Below are 21,518 nucleotides of genomic sequence, written 5' to 3'. Positions count from 1 at the left end.
GGCTATCTCTTCTGATTGCAGGGCAAGTAATTAAGTGAGAAATGTGAGCCCTGCAGTCAGGGTGAGATGGTAAAGGTCTGGAGCAGTAAGTCCACCCAACTCCAGAGACCTTCCGATTAACCCTCGCAGAGCCAGGAGGGGAGAGGGACGCGCAGGCTTGGAGGTGAAGCCCAGATGAGGGGCACTGGCTTTGTGATTGTCAAAAGCCAGCTAACTATAAATGACCTTACCTCGCTGTGCTTGGCTGAGGGAATACGCTGAGGGTGAGAATCCGCGTTCTCAGCAGTCCACCCATGGACGCACGTCTCAACAGGTACTGTCTCTGTTTACTCATTATAGGCTGAATTTTGTTCCTGATAAATTCCTGTGTGGAAGCTCTAGCCCCGGGCCCTCAGAATGTCACCATGTTTGGAGATAGGGTCTTTAAGGAGGTGCTTAACTTAAAGTGAGTCATTGGGCCCTAATCCAATGACTGGTGTCCCCATAGAACAGGGGATGAGGACACAGACACATACAGAGGGATGACCATATGAGAACACAGGGAGAAGATGGCTGCCTACAAGCCAGGGAGGGAAGCCTCGGGAGGAACCAGCCCTGCTGGCACCTGATCCTAGATGTTCAGCCTTGAGAATGATAAGAAAGTGCATATCTGGGGTTTGAGCTGCCTGGTCTCACGACGTGGTTATGGCAGCCCGGGAAAATCAGTTCACCCAGCTCTGCCTGCATGCAGAGAGCCACGTGTGCTTTAGAGTAAGGGCTGACAACGACGTGGTTCACGGGCTGTACCAGGGCCCAGCGAGGTGTGTGTGTGACACGCAGCTTCTCACACCAAAGCGGTAGCATTCCCATTTCACAGATGGGGAAACTGAGGCCTGGGGAGGTCAAGCAAGTATTCCAGGGTCATGTAGCTGGAATCTGTGGACACAGCAGGTGTTCTCAAACCTGGCTTCACAGTGCAGTGGCATGGGAAGCCTTAACAGGCACTGACTCCTGGGCTCCAGCCCACACTAAGGGAATCAAATTCTGGGCAGCAGTTTTCAGGGCGCCCCAGGCGATTCTCAGGTATAGCCAGGTGCATAGCTACTGCCTTGTACCTCATTCGTCTGGCTGGCCTTAAAAAACAAATAAAGTACGTTAGCAGTGCCTTCCGTCCCATGCGGCAGCTCCCGTCTCCATTTCCCCTGGCAAAGTGGGTTCACTGTGTCCCTCACACTCATGGTGGGGCAGCTTGTGTTTCTGAGACCATTAGCACGGGCTCTGGAGCCCAAATGGCTGGGTTTGAATCCAGTCTTTGCTACTCATTTGCTGTGTGACCTTGGGCAAGTGGCTTGGTCTCTCTGGGCTTCAATTTCCTCATCTGTAAAATGTGATAAGAGTACGTACCTTGTAAGGTTGTGATTCACCAAGTTAGCCTTTGTAAAGTGCTTAGAGCAAGGCCTAGCATGTGGAGAGTGCTGGAAAAATGTTTGTTACAAACAAGACAACTGTCTCCTGTGCGTACCCTGGATGATGAGAAGCTGGGGAGATGGGTAGGAGATGGGAGACAGAAGCCAAGCCTGAGTCCACGCCGTGTTCCCTGGGGACCCGCGGCATCCGACACAGGGGAGGCCTCAGGAAACTTTAGCGTCGAGGAACAGGTGTCGTTTGTGCAAGGTATTCGGCACCACCTCCCCGCACCATGCACACCCCGTCCCTGTGGGAGGGATGGCGAAAGCAGCCCCTTCTGTTCCTGTGGAGGTCGTAGAGGGAGGCGCACTGAACCTGTGATGACACCAGCGTGGGTTTCTCCTCCAGGAGGGAGGCTTGACACCGAGAACCGGGAGGTTCCCTGCCTGTGAGTGCTGGCGGCAGGATGTGGATAAGCCTGTTCTTTTGTACTTGGTATATTCTCCTCCTCTTCCTGCATGAATGAATGCATATCCCTTTCGTTATAACAACGTAGTTTTGGGTGGGGGCTTTTTGGTAAAAAAAAAAAAAAAAAAAAAAAAAAAGGATAATACAGAAGTTGACTGAGTTACTTCAGGCAGATTTTTCTCTGGGGCATGTTTTAGCATTTCCTTGACATCCTCTGCAGGCTGCTCCAGGCCTAGGCCCCATCCTCACCTCTCAGAGCACACACCTGCCTGTGTTCTGGCTTGTGGTTCAGGAGCGGACAGCCATGTGTCACCTGGCTGTGGGTCTCCAGGAGCCATTGCAGGGGACCGGCCACACGGCCATATTCCAGAGGCCCTGAGCCCGGAGGCACTGACTGCATGGAATCATGGATCTCTGGGCTTGTGGGGCCTCGGGGACCTTGTGCAGAAAGCACTTCTTCTGGGGGGTTGGGCGGGCAGGAACACATGGCTTCCTTACGTGAGCCACAGTTCGGGTCCAACTGGGAGGGGCTCCCAGAAGAGGCTTGGGGACAAGAACAGGAGGGACCCTGGACCCTCTGCACTGTGAGCTCCCTCAGCAGGTCTGTGGCCCGTGGAGACGGCCCAGGTTTCCCCATTCGCTGGCCAGAAAGTGCAGAAAGGGAACTGCCGGAACCCCAAGTGTGCCAGCTCCAGAGCTGCGTTCAGTCCCAGCCTGCCTCCTCAGCTGACTCAGTTCTGCCCCGTCTCCTCTTCTGTGAAATGGGAATAAGAGCAAAACCTGCCTTAGAAAGAAAAAGGCTGCTGGGCGGATTAAGCAAATTAAAACAGGGGATGGTGCCTGCCACTTAGTCAGGCATCTCTGGTGTCAGCCCCTGGTACGATCTTCATTTGCTTTGTTTGTTTGTTTTTTGAGACAGTCTCTCTCTCTCTCTCTCTGTCACCCAGGCTGGGGTGCAGTGGTATGATCTCTGCTCACTTCAACCTCTATCTCCTGGATTCAAGTGATTCTCCTGTCTCAGCCTCCCGAGTAGCTGGGATTATAGGCACACACCACCACGCCCAGCTGATTTTTTGTATTTTTAGTAGAAACGGGGTTGCCCAGGCTGGTCTCGAACTCCTGGGCCCTAGAGATCCACCTGCCTTGGCCTCCCAAAGTGCTAGGATTACAAGCATGAGCCACTGCACCTGGCCTAAGATCTTCATTTGCTTTCTTGTGACGGCTCTGAGTCGTGTCCACGTGCAGGGGACCTGGAGACTCAGGAGGGTGATACATTTACTCAGCTCTTCAGCCAGAGGGGTCAGCCCTGGAGTAGGTGCTGGCACCTAACAGGAAACGAGCTGACATTCCACCTTGGGACACATAACATCTTTCGAGGGAGGCAGCCGTCAGTCAAACGATCACAGGAAGGGATTATAAAAAAATTCTGAGGTGGCCAGGTGGGGTGGCCGAGTGACTGAGCTGGGGTCTGAGGGCAGTGAAGGAGTTAGCTAGGAGATAGGAGAGGAAGTGTCCTGGCAGAGGGAACAGCCTCTGTGAAGAGCTTGTTCCCCTTCAGAGGAACAGAAGGAAGCCCTCTGTAGCCGGCACGTGGAGAGGGAGGCTGACACGGCTGATTGTTTTCCACCCTCGTTTCCCCCTCCCTTCCACAGTGAGAGTGTTTAACTAGGCAAGCTACAGAACACGGAATGCTTTTCCCAGGCTTTTTGACGGCTGATGTGTGTGTAACAGGCTGCGTGTGTCTTGAAGTAAGAGAAGCCTTCTTGCAGTAGCTGGGTGGAGACACGGTACCGAATCGCTATTGTGTGGGTGGACACAACCATTAACAAGAGAGGAAAATCCTGGTGATTTCAGAGAGCACAGCTCAGACCCTTATGTGAAAAAAACAAATTCCACCAGCACTTTGTTGGAGCCGCTGCTCCCGTGGTGCCTGTGGGTGCAGCTGAATCCTGGCTGTAACGCAGTGCACTTGGATGCTGGGGCTGGAGGCGGTGGGCAGGAATCTCCGCTGCACCAGCTCTTGGCATGATCTGGGCTCCAACCCTACTCCCTGGTGCCAAACAACATGCTCTGAGGTTGTTTTATCACTTAGTTCAGCCCAGTCTGGCTTCAGTTATGCTGGGCAAATGCTCTCGTCTGATAACCTTCTAGGTCACAATATGAACTGTGATATTTTTCCAAAAAGCCATGGGAAGCCCGGGCGAGGTTTGTGGGACTAACCAGTCACAGGGCCCGTCTGTGACAGCACCAGGGCTCAGAGGCACGTTCATGGCCCTGGTCTTTTTACAGAGTTCATGTCGATGTGAGGAATGGTGTGGTTTGGGGAAGCTCGTGGTTTGGGGAAGCTCGTGGTTTGGGGAAGCTCGTGGGTTGGGGAAGCTCGTGGTTTGGGGAAGCTCGTGGGTTGGGGAAGCTCGTGGGTTGGAGAGGCTCATGGGGAGGCTGTGAATGCTCCGCTCACACCTCGCCTGTCTTAGGGGCCATTCGGCCTGCTGCTGCGTGCGGGACATGGCACCCAGGGAGCCCGGGTGTGATTCCTCCAGCCCTGGAGCCAGCTCAGCCTCCCAGGTCCCAGGGGAGATGGGGGCTTTCTGGGGAAAGGTTTCTTTCTTGCATGGAGGAATCCTGGGTACATGGTCTCCCTTCTGTCCCTGGCCTCTGCCTGTCTGGATGGAGGCAGCAAGTACACAGCTGGCTTGCTGCCAGGCGGAGCAGGAGGCTGAAGTGCCCCAGGCAGAGCAGAGAGATGGGAAGACCCAGAGTCCCGAGGTGTTGATGAGCCTCCGTCACCGTCCCTAACGTGGCCTGTCCTGGGGCATCCAGATGGTGGGTTGGTGCATCTCCTTTTGGCCTGAACCAATTTTAGCTGAGATTTCTGCTGCTTCCCAACACAGCGTCTTCACCAAGGCTGGTGCCAGCATCTGTCCTCTGCACGTGTCCTGACAAGACACCTGTTAGGTGTTTTCCTGGGGCTTTCGCTTCTCTGGACGCCCCCTCCTGGGTTCCCTTTGCTTTTGTTGATGGCTCTGCCTGTTCCTGCCCAAGACCCACTTTCTCAGGGCTTCCTGGCCGTTTCTGATGCCACCCTGTGCAGGCTGGGTGGACTTCGGAGGGGCTCACCCCATCATGGTGCTCACACTGACTGGGGAGGAGCAGACCCCATTTCTGTGGTCCTGAGAGCTCCTGCTGCTGCTTTTTTTTTTTTTTTTTTTTTTGAGACAGAGTCTCACTCTGTCACCCAGGCTGGAGTGCAGTGGCATGATCTCAGCTCACTGCAACCTTCTCCTCCCGGGTTTAAGCAGTTCTCCTGCCTCTGAGTAGCTGGGATTACAGGCACACACCACCATGTCTGGCTAATTTTTGTTTTTGTTTTTTTAGTAGAGTCGGGGTTTTACCATGTTGGCCAGGCTGGTCTCGGACTCCTGACCTCAAGTGATCCGCCCACCTCTGACTCCCAGAGTGCTGGGATTATAGGCATGAGCCACTGCGCCAGGCCTCTCCCTGCTTCTTCATTCATATGAGAGCCCCCTCTTCTGACGTCAGAGGCTCTCGGATGCCTTTGTGATGCTGTGGGACCCAACCCTCCTAGGCCGTGTCTTCAGGAAGGAGAAGTGGAATTAGGAGGGTCCCCAGGAACCCACCCGGTGCTCACAGAGCCATGGGACGTCACAGCACCCCTCTCTACCGTAGCCTCCTGCCCCTCTAATGCTCTCCACTGGGGCCTCACCTGGAATTTCTCTTCTGGAATAATGATCTGGGCCTTCCCCTTCCCCAACGAGGCCTTGCCCAGCAAGCCTGGCTGCCCCAGCTCTTCCCTGAGGCCTCTCCAACATGTGGGAAAGCAGGATGTGGAGGAGGAACCAGGGCTGGGGTTGGAGAGGCTACCTGGGTGCCCGTGCGGGGCTGCTGCTTGCCAGGGGTGTGGTCTTAGGGAATTACACGCTACTCATGTATCCCGGCTTCCACATTACACAACGGGCCTCCACACCGTTCCCCACATCCTGGGGTTGTTTGAGGATTCCATAAGAGACTATCTGGAAGCAGGGCATGCGGGAGGAGTTGGCGACGAGCCAGGCAGGTCCTGCGGGGCGTGGGTGGGACCGGCTGCATCACTGGGGGTGGGGGCGGCCCAGAAAGTCATGAAGAATCTCACGTTGGCAACAGCAGAGGGTTAGACCGAGGACGAGGTCCTCTGTACACTTGAGAAGCCAGCCCTGCATGTGGGGAAGAGAGCCCTGGTGGCCAAGCCCTTTTAATATTTATGTCCTGGCCCAGGTGATACTGGAAAGTGGCAGGACTCCCCAAACACCAAGGTGTCAATGGGCAGTGACACTCAACTGTCACTTCCAGGAGCCTTTGCCCTTTAATCCAATATCGCAAGCAGGGCAATATCCAGAGACATCATTCCCTCATGGTGGAGGGTAGGTGGTGTCTGTGAATGGCATAGTGTGGGAAAGAAGCGTGTGGGTTTCACAGGCACCCTAGGCTCCAGCCTTAGGACCAGCCTGAGGGTGACAGCCCCATGCAGCTGGAAACAGCTGATTTCCAGGTTCTGGGTTCCAAGGTGGGCAGCCCCGCCCACCACGGTGACATCATGTGCTAGGGAGGCCTCTGGACCTCATTACTCTGGCAGTTTTTATAGGATTGGGTGCCAGGCCATAAAGCTGTCAGGGAGGATGCTGCCCCTTGGCCTCCTTTATGCCAGTCCCGGTTGTCCCACGCTGCCAAGGCCTGGGCCTTGCTGACCTCTGGCTCTGCAGTGACCGCTCCCATATCCACGCAGAGCCTGCCGCACGGCTGCATCCCTGTACATGCTGCTGACTGCAGCTTGCCATTTGGTGCCAATGATGCTTCCAGGTTAAGTCTCGTTAGGATAATAAAAGGGATGAAAAAACAGTATTTGAGCTGTATTTTTTCCTGGGGTGTCATGACAGATTGAGGACCCATGGCTCCAGCACACCAGCTGATCCCAGCTCCTGTGATCCTGAGGGGGGGTGAGCACACGGACACCCCGCGGACTTCCTGTGCAGACCTGGCCTGGCCCCTCAGCCCCTGGCCCATCTCACTGGCCCTGCTCCCAGCAGTGCCTGTGGGAATGTGGCTTTTTGGAGGCCAGGCTGATGCCCCTGTCCTGAGAGCCTGTTCAGCCTCCTGGGTCCTGGAGAGCATCATTCAAATGGGTTAGCTGCCCCGGCCCTGCTGGCTGAGTTGCAGGGGACAGAATTGGCCAGGCTCTTCCTCTTGTACTCAGGACAGGAGAGAGCCTGAGATAAGTGTGTGTCTGGGTACCTGGTACCTCACTGGTTTGTCTAGAAGAGTGGCTTGTTCTTTGCTATCCAAGGGATGCTGCTCCGGAAAGCCAGGCTGGGTTCTGCCTTCATGGAGGAATTCCTGATAATAAGAATGCTGAAAAAAGGGTCATTGTACCCATATCCCCATCTATACACTGCCCAAACTCAGCAAATCCATCCAAATAGCAAGGGCCACGATGCACCTGTAATGAACATAACAGCACTCCCTCTCCGAGTGCTTGTGCTGTGCCAGACACTGTGTGTGGAGCATCTGAGCAAAGGTTCCCAGCAGCTCCAATGAATAATAGTAACAAAACACATCACACATGTTCCGTGCCTGCTAACGCCGATGATAGTCTAAATCTTTGCGGCGGTTGAGGAGGTGCTGTCGGTGCCCCCCCACTGCTCTTTACACAGAAGGAACACAAGGGTCAGGCAGGTGGAGTGACTTGGCCACAGTCACAGAGCTGGTGCATGTCCAGAGCTAGAACCTCACGTGGTCAGCCTTGCTCCAGGGTCCACTAACCTTTACCATGCCCATAACGTGCCGTGGGTCTTATTATTGGAGGCTGGTGCTCTGATGCGAGAGTGGCAGCTTCTCCAAGGGCTTCTGGATCAACTGATGAGATAATAAAACCCCCAAGTCTAGCATCTAGATTGAAGCAAAAGAAGCCTAAATTAACAAACAAAAAATATCCTCTAGAAAGCCCCTGAGATGGCAATTCTGGATTTGCATCTGACTGTCTAGACAATCATCTGTTCTGTTCTACATATTTTCATGGATCCCTGTTCTCTGCCAGCACTGCCCTTGTTTCAGTGATATATCAGGGCTCCCAGCCCTCATCTTTGTTATGCAATTTGGTATTTCTTTGAGCTCAGCCTGGGTTCATTCCTCCTCATCTTGCCCCACATCATGAACCCACTAGCTGACCTTGCAGATCCTCCCTGAATGCAAACTGAATTTAATATTGGCCCAAACCAGACATAAGCAGCAAAGTCAAGGAGGGGCAGCAAGGACCAGCCCAGCCCAGGTTCCCCAAAGCCACCTGAGTGTGACCTGAGTCTCCAAGGGAAGCTGAGCCCAGGGCATGGTGGTTGGTTAGTCCCAGAGAGTCTTGCCACTCCAGGGTCCTCTTTTTATAAAAATTCCTAGAATGATCCTTAACTCAAGATTTTCTTAAGAGGAATAATTGAGGATATCTGAGCGCACACTCTGAAAAAGACATATCCATTACTCATTGTCAGTGAGTTCTGATGTCAACTTTTTGCTTCCCTGCTGAGTACCTGGAAATAGGGTTTAACAAGCACGGGGCATAGAAGTCTGGGCACTGTTCCCCTTGCTGTGTGTTCCCTGCTGCTCTCAGTTTCCCTGGGAGGTCTTGTTTCAAAACCCTGAAGCCTATCTCACGTTAGTCCTTTACTTTTTCTTCTCCTTTCTTTTTTCTTTTCTTTTCCTTTCTCTTTCTCTTTCTCTTTCTCTCTCTCCCTTCCTTCCTTCCTTCCTTCCTTCCTTCCTTCCTTCCTTCCTTCCTTCCTTCCCTCCCTCCCTCCCTCCCTCCCTCCCTCCCTCCTTCCTTCCTTCCTTCCTTCCTTCCTTCCTTCCTTAGATGGAGTCTTGCTCTGTCACCCAGGCTGGAGTGCAGTGGCACGATTTTGGCTCACTGCAACTTCCACCTCCTGGGTTCAAGTGATTCTCGTGCCCCAACCTCCTGAGTAGCTGGGATTACAGGTGTGAGCCACCATGCCCAGCTAATTTTTGTATTTTTAGTAGAGCCAGGGTTTCACCATGTTGGCCAGGCTGGTCTTGAACTCCTGACCTAAGGTGAACTGCCCACCTTGGCCTCCCAAAGTTCTGGGATTACAAGAGTGAGTCACTGCGCCTAGCCCCTTTGCATTTTTTTATGAGCCTCTCAAAGCACTAACCTGAGGAATATAATGCTATGAATGGATTCCCTGGAAACCTTTTTCTTCCTCTCAAATGCTCTGTGTGGAGCTGGTAGTCAGCTCTCCTGCATAAGGAAAGTGGCTGCCTGGTGGTCTCTGTGCTGGTTCCCAGTAGGGTCTGCATTGTCTCTATAGGATCAAAATTATTTTGTTTTCCTTGGGAGTTGGAGAAGAGTTTTAAACTCTTTTGGTGGAAAAAGTTACTCCTGCTTGAAGTTCAAGCTGTAAATGGGCCCACCTGTGGTACATGAACTTCCCTTTGTAACACCGCTCAGTATCTCCCCAGTAACACAACCTCCTGGGCCTGGTCTGATTTCCATTTACTCCCTTATAGTGCTCCTGGATTGGTGAAATCCATGGGCCACTTTCATTTGACCTGATTGTCCTCACTGACCTTGCAGGCTCAGAGAAAAACAAGACATGTCATAAAAATGACAAGAATTCTTGAATTTGGAATCACCGAGGAGTTCATATAGTAAAATCCATCTATAAAGTTCCTTGTTCTGCTACTAATTTGGTCACTCTGTGGGTTAAAACATATGTACCCTGAGCCGGGCATGGTGGCTCACACGTGTAATCCCAGCAGTTTGGGAGGCTGAGGCAGGTGCATCACCTGAGGTCAGGAGCTCAAGACCAGCCTGGCCAACATGGTGAAACCCTGTCTCTACTTAAAATACAAAAAGTTAGCTGCTCATGGTGGCAGGTGCCTGTAATCCCAGCTACTAAGGAGGCTGAGGCAGGAAAATGGCTTGAACCCGGGAGGCAGAGGTTGCAGTGAGCTGAGATCATGCCATCGCACTCCAGCATGGGAAACAAGAGTGAAACTCTGTCTCAAAAAACAAACAACCAACCCCATATGTCCCCTGTCCTTTGTGGGTGTAGAGGTAGCTCAGGAGGGGCTATCGGGAGGTCTGGGCTGAAGCCCTTCCTCCACCCATGGGTGGGGTATGACCGTGTACAGGTTCTCACCAAGCCTTGTTTGTTTCACTCATGCCCTGGAGGAATGCCCTGGCATTCCCAGTCCGTGCTACAGAGCCCCGCACCAGGATCTGGTATCACCATTTCCACGTCGCGATGAGGTGTGTGCCTCTCTAAATATAAAACCAAGAGGAATATCACACTCTCTCAATGCCTGGAAAAACATTTCATTTCCCTCCCATCTGTGTGTTTCTCTAATCAGAGTGCATTTTGTCACTGATGAGCACATATAGGCTGGCATCTCTTTGCTCCTTAAAATCTCTTAGCCAGTTGATGGTGAATCACAATCGATGTTGCCTTAGGATAGAAGAAATACAGTAATCATGAGGAAGGCTGCTCATCGATGGCCCCTCTGTGCCACTTGGTTTTACTTCTATTCCCTCACTCAGTCTTCACCAGCAACCTGTGAGGAAGACTCAGGTGAAGCAGGTGCCGGTGTTTCCATTTTGTGGCATAGAATCGGAGAGAGTGAGTCGCGTCTCCAAACTCACACAGCTGGTAACTGTTTTGATTTTGAACTCAGATCTAACTGTAGGCTGAATGGAAGCCTTTTTCATAAAATGTAGCTGTACATTATCAGACATTTTCCATGGGTACTCTGTTGAGAAGCCTTATTAGCTATAATTGTGTGTGGGGCTGCCATAAAGTCCCACAGACTGGGAGGCTCAGACAGCAGAAATGCCCAGCTCCGGAGGCTGCAAGTCTGAGGTCAAGATGCCTACAGGGTTGGTTCCTCCAAGGCCCCCTCCTTGGCTCGCAGACGTACGTCTTCTCCCTGGGTCCTCACGGGGACTTCCTTCCGTGTCTGTGTCCTCCTAATTTTCTCCTCTTATGAGGACACACCGGTTCTATTGAATTGGGGCCCACCCTGATGACCTATTTTACTCTCATCATCTCTTTAAAGGCTGTGTCTCCAAAGACAGTCGTGTTCTGAGGGACTGGGGGTTAGGGTGCAACACGGGATCCTTGAGAGAATCCAGTTCAGCCCCTATTTGTGTTCTTTCTTCTTCTGCAGGGTGGTCCCTTCTATCTTTTTTTTTTTTTTTTTTTTTTGAGATGGAATCTCGTTCTGTCGCCCAGGCTGGACTGCAGTGGTGCGATCTTGGCTCACTCTGCCTCCCAGGTTCATGCCATTCTCTTGCCTCAGCCTCCCAAGTAGCTGGGACTACAGGCGCCCGCCACCACGCCTGGCTAATTTTTTGTATTTTTTTTTTAGTAGAGATGGGGTTTCACTGTGTTAGCCAGGATGGTCTTGATCTCCTGACCTCATGATCCACCCACCTTGGCCTCCCAAAGTGCTGGGATTGCAGGCCTGAGCCACTGCGCCTGGCGACTTCTATCTTATTTTATGGATCTATCTCTTATCCTCTGTTTTAGCAAGATGGAGTTTTCCATATTAGAAATAATCAATTATTGGTAATAAAACAATTTCTCTCCTGAACAAACGGAACCTTTTAATTTGGTTGTGTGGATGCGGTATTCTTACGTGTCTCAAGAGCTGGTTAAGTAACCACATGAATGACGTTCTTGTGCCTGCTGTGTCAGGCCGGAGGTGTCCGAAAATGGACACAGGGTGTTTTCCTCGTGGTGACTGTTCTCACACGTATTTCTTCCGTGCACATACAAGCACACATGTGCACACACACCAGTATCTCCCAAAATGTGTCCTAGGAAGGGCATCCTATGAGAGGAATTAATACATGTCTTAGAGAGGGAAAAGTTTTTTTAAAATTAAATGTAGTTGAGAATATTATGCTAGACCAAGTGGACTAGAGTTCCCTGTGGCAGGATCTCTCGGAGTGTTTAACGTGCTGACTCTCTAATTTGTGAATCTCTAAGGTCTTAGAGTTTGCTGACCCCTGCTCTGCTCTATCTCTAAAGGGCCAGCTAGTAAAGCTTTTGGCTTCGTGGGTCATCTGGGCTGTCGCAAGGACACACTGAGCTGTTGTGGCAGGCAGCTGCCATGGACAGTCTATAATCAAATGGGCATGGCTGTGTTCCAATAAAACTTTATTTATAAAAACACGTGGAGGGTCCAACATGGCCCCGGGACATGGTTGGCCAGCCCTGTCTTAGAGTACCTTGTGCTTTCCAAGCGTATTGGACCATGAAGTTCTTTGCCAAGTGTTGCTGATGTCCCACAGGACACTTCATTCAGCCAGGGCCTGGAATCACAGCCCTGGGGCATCGTCCCACTGTCCCATGCCCATCGTCCTGTTCCTGCCGATGCCATAGCATGAGGGGATGCTCTTTGAGTATGCTCATCTGAGGACTTGGATAAATCATCCAGACTCCTATTCGGAATTTCTCCTAAATGATCCAAACCACACTGGGCTGGAAAAATTGCCCAGATAGGGTTCGCATACGTGATTTTTTTTCAGTACTTCTTGGGATCGGCAGAACTTGAGGCATGTTTTGTTACAGTACTTAGTGACTCTGGAGAGACCATGCTTTATGGAGAGCCTGATTTTTCCTTCTTTCAAATTAGTCATTTTCGTGCTGTCCTTGGGGCCTGTGTGTGTATATTTGAGGAGGGTGAAAGCAGAGAAAGGGTTAAAGTGGGAAGGAGGTGTGAGTCAGGCCTCGCATTTGTCAGCTACCGTCACTTATATTTAAAAAGTGTTCAGTCTTTGTCTTTAAGCTGATGGCTTTGAATTCATTTTGGACAGAGAGTTTTAAGAAAGGGGGAACTGTTTGTATTAAGGCAGATGTGGATATAGTCTTTCAAGGTGCTAAATTTGTGCTGACTTGGTCCAAAATACAACCGCATCTGGTTATGTCTGGTGTTGACTACTCCAAAAATGCCCTAAATTCCAGACAACCTCTTGGGCTTAGAAATAGAAGTCATTAATCCTGCATTTGAATTTAATATTTGAAATTTTATCCTAATCTTTTTTTTTTTCTTCCACATGAATTAACTTTTGAACAGTTGGAAAGAAACGTGAAGTGTTTTTATTTTGTTTTTTTGGGTTTTTTTAAGGGCATATTCTTAACAAAAGGGTATAAAATTAAACTAGGTTTGACCTTTTGAGTTGAGCAGATTTTCCACCTGGTCGGAGCAGGGAATAGGCTTCTGGGTGGGACGGCAGCTGCCTCCCCCGCTTCTGGAAGGATACTGTGTACATTCGCAGAGTGGTGTGCTTCTTGGCCAAGCCGTGATGTGAGTTCCTTGTTGACGGTTAGTAGATAAGTGGTGAGGTTGTGCATCTGGGTAGATGATCCAATTCAGAGAATGGTTCCAGGCAGCTCCAGTTCAGTCTCATCAGAAATATTTAAGCTCCACTCTCCCCACCAAAAAATGCACATAATTCTGCAGGAATCTCACACGTGGGTGGATAGGGCCAGCTTGAGTTTCATCCGCTCAGGGGCCAACTTCTTTCTGGCATGAGGGGTGCAAGCTTGGGGCTTAGACCCAGCCACCTGGGGATTTCGACTGACCTGGTAAAAGAGAGAATCTGGAAAGGAAGGGTCTGGTAGCCTGCTGGTTGGGGGACGGGAGTCGGGAGGTCCATGCGGGAGGGAGGGGGATTACCCCTTGGAGCAATGGAGGATTTGGAATGTTGTGGCTCTCAGAGTCGGGGATTTGGGGAACATGACTTCTGGCACAGATGGCTGGGGGCCTCCTTCCAGCAGAGGAGGGGGCTTCCTCCGTGAGAGTCATCGCCGCCTGCTCATAAGGGCGTCTGCTGCTTCCGACAGCCAGGGTTTGAATCTTGGCCATGTTCTACTGAGTGAAAGACTGCAGAGAAGCCACTTAACCTCTCTGAGCCTTGGTCTTCTCTTGTGTAAAATGGGAATAAAATAGCACCTTCCCCCCATGGGCTGCTGTGGGGCTCACAGGGGATGACACGTTTACTGTTGGCCTCAGGGCTGGCACCCCGTGATGGGATTAAAATGCAACTCCCTTATGTAACTCGAGATTATTTTTACTCTTGAATTTATCGTGTTCGCCAAGGCAAAGGAGAGGGCCCGCCCGGTCCCTTTTACCATCCCCCGCCTGCCTTTTTGTGACTTGTTTTTCCTTTCAAGGGTGGTCTCTGTTCACTCCACTCTGATGTCACTGCCTAAAAATGTCGGGTCCTGGCTTGGGTGGTGGAAGTGGCATGCAGGGCGATCTCTCCCTGGCCAGCCCTGTGCCCCCCGGGGCCGCCCTGGCGTGGGCTCAGGAGTTCCAGGGCTCTTTCCCAGAGGGATTTATGATTCCTTCGGCCGGGGCTGGATTGCTCACTCCAGAAATAAAGCAAAGTTATGGAAAGCTGAGGCCATAGCCCTTACTTTTTTCTTCCCTTATTCATAAGATTAATGAAGCGACAGAAGAATCAGGTGCAGGCAAAGTGTCCGGACTGAACTGGGCTCCGATGTGAAGTTGTCATCAAACGGCTGTGGGGCTGGGGCCTGTCACTGCGACCTCGCTGGGCCTCAGTTTCCTCACTTGGGAGAGAGGGATTTGCACCAGCAGACATGAAAGGCGTCCTCTGCTTCACTGATTCTATTTTAGGCAGGTGAAGTGAGTGTTTCCAAAGTGTGGGACTCAAGAGGTCTCAGGTGACACGGGCATGATTATTTCGAGCTTCCACTTAAATAATTCTGCAGGACTGGAACTGAAGTAGGGCAGGTAAGATGCTTGCCTTGGGTGAAAATTTAAGAGGACATTAAAAACCCCCATAATCATTGAGATACATAATAATTTAATCCAATGTAAAACAATCAAAATGCAAAAATATTCCCGATGAACAAAATACTGAAATTTTGAACAGAGGTAGCATCCATATTATTGATGTTTTCCCTTCTGCCTCCAGCTCTAATATGGCCTGGCATATGCAAATATGCATTATTGAAACATTTCGAACACATTGCAACCCTCGACTTCACAGGTGCCACTGCCTACAAAATGGCCACATTCAAGTTTAAAAAGTGAGTTTATTAAAAGGAGAAAAGGAAAGGCTGTCTAGTGTATGGTTAATGGTAAATAGATACAGCAAAATATTATGACAATTGGAAGAAAAAGAGTATTGTGGGGGTGTGAGCTGGTGGGAGAGGGATGAGGTAGACTGCAAGCAGCTCTCTAACACCAGTCACCAGTACCTGGGAGGCTGTTTTTGTACCACAGAAGTCTGTATTAGTCTGTTCTTGAACTGCTATAAAGAAATGCCTGGGCTGGGTGTGGTGGTTCACACCTGTAATCCCAGCACTTTGGGAGGCCGAGGGCGGCAGATCACTTGAGGTCAGGAGTTGGAGACCAGCCTGCCCAACATGGCGAAACCCCATCTCTACTACAAATACAAAAAATTAGCCAGGCATGGTGATGGGTGCCTGTAATCCCAGCTACCTGGGAGGCCGAGGCAGGAGAATCGCTTGAACTTGGGAGATGGAGGTTGCAATGAGCCGAGATTGCACCATTGAACTCCAGCCTGGGCGACAAGAGCAAAACTCGGTCTCAAAAAAAAAATTAATAATAATAATGCCTGAGGCTGGGTAACTTATAAAGAAAAGAGGTTTAATTGGAAACTTACAATCATGGCGGAAGGCGAAGGGGAAGCAAATATATCTTACATGGCTGGAGCAGGAGGAAGAGAGAGAGGGGAGGGCCCCACACGCTTGTAAACGACCAGATCTCGTGAGAACTCTATCATGAGAACAGGACTAGGAGGATGGTGCCAAATTATTCCAGAGAAACCACCCCCATGATCCAGTCACCTCCCCGCAGGCCCCACCTCCAACAATGAGGATGACATTTGATGCAAAGTGTAGACAGGGACACAGACATCAAACCATATTATGGTCCACCCCTTTGACCTCAGTTAACTGGTCCCGGAGGTCACCCCACCCCCACTAGTATGATCAGAGCCTCCTGTGGGACCCAGGCTGCGCTGATGTCTTCATGGGGAGATGTGCACACGGGCGTCCTGAAGACTGCCCCTCTTGGCTCTGCGGATGGAGAAGCAGAGAAGGCAGAGAGAGGGCTGGATGCAGAAGCAGTAATTTGGGGTGGGCAACGGCCTTCCAGTTCCTGCTGCAGCCTCATCCTGGACTTCCACAGACACCCTGAGTCCTCATCACTACCCCCTCCTTTGGTATATGCCTGTTGGATTGAGTTTTTTCCTTTTAAAATGAAACAGCCCAACCAATGCAATGAGGAAGAAAAAGATAACCTACTTGGGTATTAGGGAGCAAAATCTGCAAGGTGATTTTTTTCATCTAATGTTCCCCAACTGTGGTTACATATTAGAAACATCAGAAGAACTTTTAAAAATACAGATGTCTGGGTCCCCCCAGATTCATTAAGTCAGAATCTGCTATGGTCTGAATGTTTGTGCCCCCCATTAAATTCATGTTGAGACCTAATCTCCAGTGCAATTGTATTAAGAAAGAGCTTTTAAGAGGTGATGTGGTCATGGAGGCAGAGCCCTCAAGAATGGGATTAGTGCCCTTATAAAAGCGGCCTGAGGGAGGCTGGGTGCAGTGGCTCATGCCTGTAATCCCAGCACTTTGGGACGCCAAGGTGGGAGGACTGCTCGAGGCCAGGACTTCAAGACCAGCCTGGGCAACATGGGGAAACCCCGTCTGCATTAAAAATACAAAAACAAATTAGCCAGCTGTGGTGGCATGCCCCTGTAATCCCAGCTATTCAGGAGGCTGAGGCATGAGAATTGTTTGAACCCGGGAGGTGAAGGTTGTAGTGAGCTGAGATTGTGCCACTGCACTCCAGCCTGGGTGAGACTCTGTCTGAAAAAAAAAAAAAAAAAGAGGCCTGAGGGAGTTTGTTTGCCTCTTTTTCCTGTGAGGATGCATAGAAGGCACTGTCTGTGAGGAATAGACCTTGAATCTGCCAACACCTTGATCTTGGACTTCACAGCCTCCAGAACTGTGAGCAATACATTTCTTTTGTTTATAAATGGCCCAGTCTAAGGCATTTTGCTACAGCAACCTGAATGGACTAAGACAGAATCTCTGGGCAGTGGGGCCCAGGCACTTGCATTTTATTATTATTTTTTGAGACAGTTTCGCTCTTGTTGCCCAGGCTGGAGTGCAATGGCACCATCTTGGCTCACTGCAACATCCACCTCCTGGGTTCAAGCGATTCTCCTGGCTCAGCCACCTGAGTAGCTGGGATTACAGGCGCCTGCCACCACGCCTAGCTAATTTTCTGTATTTTTAGTAGAGATGAGGTTTCACCATATTGGTCAGGCTGGTCTCAAACTCCTGACCTCAGGTGATCCACCCACCTCAGCCTCCCACAGTGCTGGGATTACAGGTGTGAGCCACCACTCCTGGTGGCATTTACATTTTAAAAATGTTTCTTAGGCAACTCTAACCACAGTGGTTTAACCACTACACTTGTAAACACAAGCGTCTACCTCCCCTCTGGGTCACCTCTCACTTTTTACTCCACTCTTCCCCTCTTATCCTGGTGGAAACACCTCTCTACCTCCCCGGTAGGTCACCTCTCACTTTTTACTCCAGTTTTCCCCTCTTAGCCTGATGGAAACACCTCCACTGATGGTCTGGAGACAGGAGGTGGAGTCCTTGGTCTTCACCAGCTACTGACCATGTGCCCTTGGGAAGTCATTTTTTTTTCCTCACCATCCTTCAAGCTTCCTGACATGCAAATTGGCCCATCCACTTTGAATAATAGCATCGATTCTCAGAGGATAAGGCCGAAGCATTTTAATAGAGTCATCTTCTTAATTACATTTTAAGGGTACCTGCAGGTGTACTGGGGGTTCAGTGGGAGAAAATAGGCAGAAATCCTCACCCATCTGGAGCTTCCTGAAGCAGAGCCTGAGACAAGGACCCAAACCTCCTCCTCCAGGAGGTGATTGTGGGAAGCTCTGCTGGGTGTGGGGTGGGGAGACGAGGAAGAGGAGGGACCAAGAAAGCCTACGCAAAGGGGCAGCACATTGCTGGGCAGTTGGAGCTCATCTTTCTGGGGGTATTTGGGTCTATACTGAACCACCTCAGTGCTGTGCTCCAGAGGGCGAGAAAGCTGGGCCACTTGCCTTTGGGGAAGGCAAAGGAGGCTGCCTTTGGGGGCATTAGCTCCCGATTCACACATGTCCCAGGTGTGGCCCTGGAGGGAGCCTCAGCAGAAGCTGGTGGGCAAGAGTGGAGGGCCCAGGGCACTTGGGGGAGGCGTCTGCTTGGGGGCAGTGGGTGGCCGATGTGGCTGGAGTCAGGTGAGTGGTGGAGGATGAGAGCGGAGAGGTGATGGGGGGCCTGGAGCCTCGACCTCTTGGTGCTTCCTCCAAGAGGCTGAGGTGGAGCCCCCAGAGGTGCTGAGCAAGTCTGCCTGATGCCGATGGATGGGCCTTTTCCATGGGGAGCCACAGGTGGTGGTCAGTGGGGAGGAGAGGGGCGTGGAAGGGCCACCATGTGGGTGTAGAGGCCAGGATGGGGCCCAGCCTCCCTGCTGGCCACAGATGAGCTCCCAGCCCCGTAGTCAGACTGGTTTTGCAGCTGTCAGCTGAGTCCTCTCAAGGGGTGGCCTTCTCTGCCTATGGTTTGATAGGAGAGAAATGAAATGTCTGTGGACAGAGATGCTGGGGAGAGTGGTAGCACCAGGGTTCTCAGCTGGGATTCTGGAGGACAAATAGCAGCGAGGGCGGAGCTGTCATTCGGCATCCAGCCCCTCTCCTTGTGATTCTGTTCTGCAGGCCCTTCAATCCCAGCCGGGGCATTGGGTTTTGCTCTGATGTCTTCTCTCTGCCAAAGGATGTGGAAACCCACCCTTCCCTAGGGAGGCTCTGCTTTAGGCAGTGGACTTCGGCTCTTGGTTTTCTGTGGGATTCTCTACTTGCCACTTAAAGGGTGACCACAACCTGGACGCAGTGTTCCTTCTGGATGGTCTGGGTGGCGTCTTCTACCACAGGCCAACTAGGCACCCCCAGACCCAGGAGGTGGGGCTTCTTCAGACCCCAGGAACCCAGACGGCTCCTTTCCCGTTCAAGCTATCCAAGTTCCAAGGACCGTCTTTTCTGGAAGCTCTGTGACGACTCCATCTTCCTTGAGCTCTGACTTATCTCAGGATCTCCACCACTTAGACTGCGGCAGTCAGTGTGACTAGTCTCAGATAGGACCCTTTAGTTATAACTGGAGTAACCTTCTTTTTAGAGGAGGTTCATTTGTTAGGTTCCCTTCCTTGAGAGAGTCAACTCTTGGTTCCACAGTGATCTGTGTGACTCTGGGAAGGCTGGCCCTGCTTCTGGGGCCATGGACAGTGTATGTCCCAGGTCTGGATACCCAGAGTTTCCGCATCCATGGTAACAGGTCCCCAGGCAGATGTGGGACCATCCAGGCCAACCCGTCCCCCCCAGCCTCTCCCCAGGGCCATGGGGAAAGCTGTACCCCCTTCGCTGGGACCCCCAACTCTTATGGTCCATGAAGACCTGCGCTTCCAAGGTTCATTTTGACTTGAGAACGAAATCAAGACAGCTGGAGTGGAGAGAGAGAGAAAGAGGCAGATTCTGCATGGCTTCCATTAGGTCCCTGGACCCAAGTGCACCTGAGGCCAGACCCAACCCCATAGATTTTCTGGTTGTGGGAGCCAACAATGGCCTTTTTGGCTAAGCTGGTTTGAGATGGGTTTCTGGTACTTGCAGCTAGGAGTCCCAATTAATTCTCCATTTCACACGAAGAAGCAAGAACAAGCAATTATTCTGTGGAAGGATACTGGGACCCAGCTGATTCAAAGGAAGAGCTAACCCTTCTGCCTCCCGGGAGTAGGAGCCTGGCCGGCATCAGGCCTTATGCACCTGAGTCCAGTGACTGCACAGGCAGGGCCATCGCTATGCTGGCTCCACAGATTGCCATGCCCGTGCTGACGTCCGGGAAGAAGTGATCCAATGGGTCCAACGTGGACCCCATGCCCGACCTGCAGCTGGGAGCTGGGGTCCCCACTTCAGGGCCCTCCTGCCGTGGAGGAGCCATCACTGCCCCTTGGGGAAGAGGATATCGAGGTGAGGGATGCAAGAAGCAGATGTCCACCCCATGGCTGGGGAACGGCAGCAGACGACACACAGGAGCCCTTTTCTCTCTGGTTGGCTGAGATGACCTGGGAGGGCTTTTGCTGAACAGCTTGGCGGACAGAGCTGTGTGTGTGTGTGTAACACTGAGTGTGGATTCCCCGCAGGGCCCTCGCCTGAGTGTGGGCATGTCCTTCCACCTCGGGCTTGTCCCACCAGGACAGGAGACCATAATGATGCCACCTCTCAGAGCTCCTGGGATGGTGGAGTGAGACCAGGTCTTAGCAAGTGTACTGCAAATGATACTTAAGCCCGTTTATCACAAGGACCAATTTCCATCTAGACAATGGCCGTGCTAATTGTAAACATCTTTTTTCCTCTACCCACCGCAGCAGCTGATGGGGTTGCACTGGATAAGGTGAACTTGTCGCATGAAAATGTCCTGCCAGGTCATGGAATTCCATATTGAACAAAGGCATCTCCATGTTAATGTCCATGCTCTCTTTTGAGGAGCCTGAAGGCCTCAGTCTCGGATGGTAACTGAAATTCAGAAGAAATACTGTGATAAAACTCATCAGAAGGAGGCGGCTGAAAATGCGTTTGTCTTTCAGATGCAGGTGGTGCCGCTGGGGTCCCAGCGCCCGTCTGGGGAGGCACTGTCTCCTCCTCCATGGCAATCCTCTTTTGGAATTATTCTGTAATTCAGGCTCCCTTTTTTTTTTTTTGAATCGGGGTCTCACTCTGTCGCCAGGCTGGAGTACGGTGGTACGGTGGCACGATCTCAGCTCACTGTAACCTCCGCCTCTGGGGTTCAAGGGATTCTCCTACCTCAGCCTCGCGAATAGCTGGGACTACAGGTATGCGCCACCATGCTCGGCTAATTTTGTATCTTTTGTAGAGACAGGATTTTATCATGTTGGCCAGGCTGGTCTCAAACTCCTGACCTCAAGTGATCCACCTGCCTCAGCCTCCCAAAGTGCTGGGATTACAGTTGTAAGCCAGTGCACCCAGCCAGGCTCCCCTAATTTTTTAGTGTTGGGGGTCATGTTTGTGCTGAGATTCTAGCCTTGGCTTAGAGGTTGGACCCCATCGCTGCCGATTATTCCCTGAGAATAAGTCCCTCTCGGGTAAGTCCCCTTACCCTTTGGGCCTCAGTTTTGCCATTAGCAAAATGGGCATAATAATAACCTTCCCTATAAGGTTAAAGGAGTTAATGTGTTTAAAGCTGTTATGATAGCTTGGCACATATATCGTATGCAATAAATCTGGGTTATTATTACTGCTCCCAACTAGTAAAGATTTAGACACATTTCTAGCACTTCAAATGTCTACATTGTGTGTGCTCTCTCTGGAATAAGCTACATCCTGAATATAAAAAAGGTCCCCATGCTTAGGTCTGAGGCCATTTATAGCAATTCCTGTTTCCACTGTGGAGTTCAGTTTTGCTGATATGGAGGGAAAATTTCAAGCCCTCTGCTGTATAAATTTA

The 21,518-nt window shown here is 51.2% G+C and overlaps 3 annotated features.

The window, feature by feature from the left end:
• Nucleotides 13,474-13,647: a silencer, noted in NCBI's record as "fragment chr16:87067292-87067465 (GRCh37/hg19 assembly coordinates)". NCBI's record gives its function as "represses an EF-1alpha promoter that drives an FKBP-Casp9 reporter gene in an ReSE screen in K562 erythroleukemia cells {active_cell/tissue: K562}" and the evidence as "EXISTENCE:reporter gene assay evidence [ECO:0000049][PMID:32094911]".
• Nucleotides 17,816-18,316: an enhancer, noted in NCBI's record as "H3K4me1 hESC enhancer chr16:87062623-87063123 (GRCh37/hg19 assembly coordinates)". NCBI's record gives its function as "activates a minimal SCP1, AML or CMV promoter by ChIP-STARR-seq in primed H9 embryonic stem cells {active_cell/tissue: H9 hESC(primed)}" and the evidence as "EXISTENCE:reporter gene assay evidence [ECO:0000049][PMID:30033119]".
• Nucleotides 18,317-18,817: an enhancer, noted in NCBI's record as "H3K4me1 hESC enhancer chr16:87062122-87062622 (GRCh37/hg19 assembly coordinates)". NCBI's record gives its function as "activates a minimal SCP1, AML or CMV promoter by ChIP-STARR-seq in primed H9 embryonic stem cells {active_cell/tissue: H9 hESC(primed)}" and the evidence as "EXISTENCE:reporter gene assay evidence [ECO:0000049][PMID:30033119]".

This window comes from Homo sapiens, chromosome 16, assembly GCF_000001405.40.
Source record: "Homo sapiens chromosome 16, GRCh38.p14 Primary Assembly".
In the NCBI taxonomy this organism is placed as follows: Eukaryota; Metazoa; Chordata; class Mammalia; order Primates; family Hominidae; genus Homo; species Homo sapiens.
This window is presented reverse-complemented; position numbering and strand designations above follow the sequence as displayed.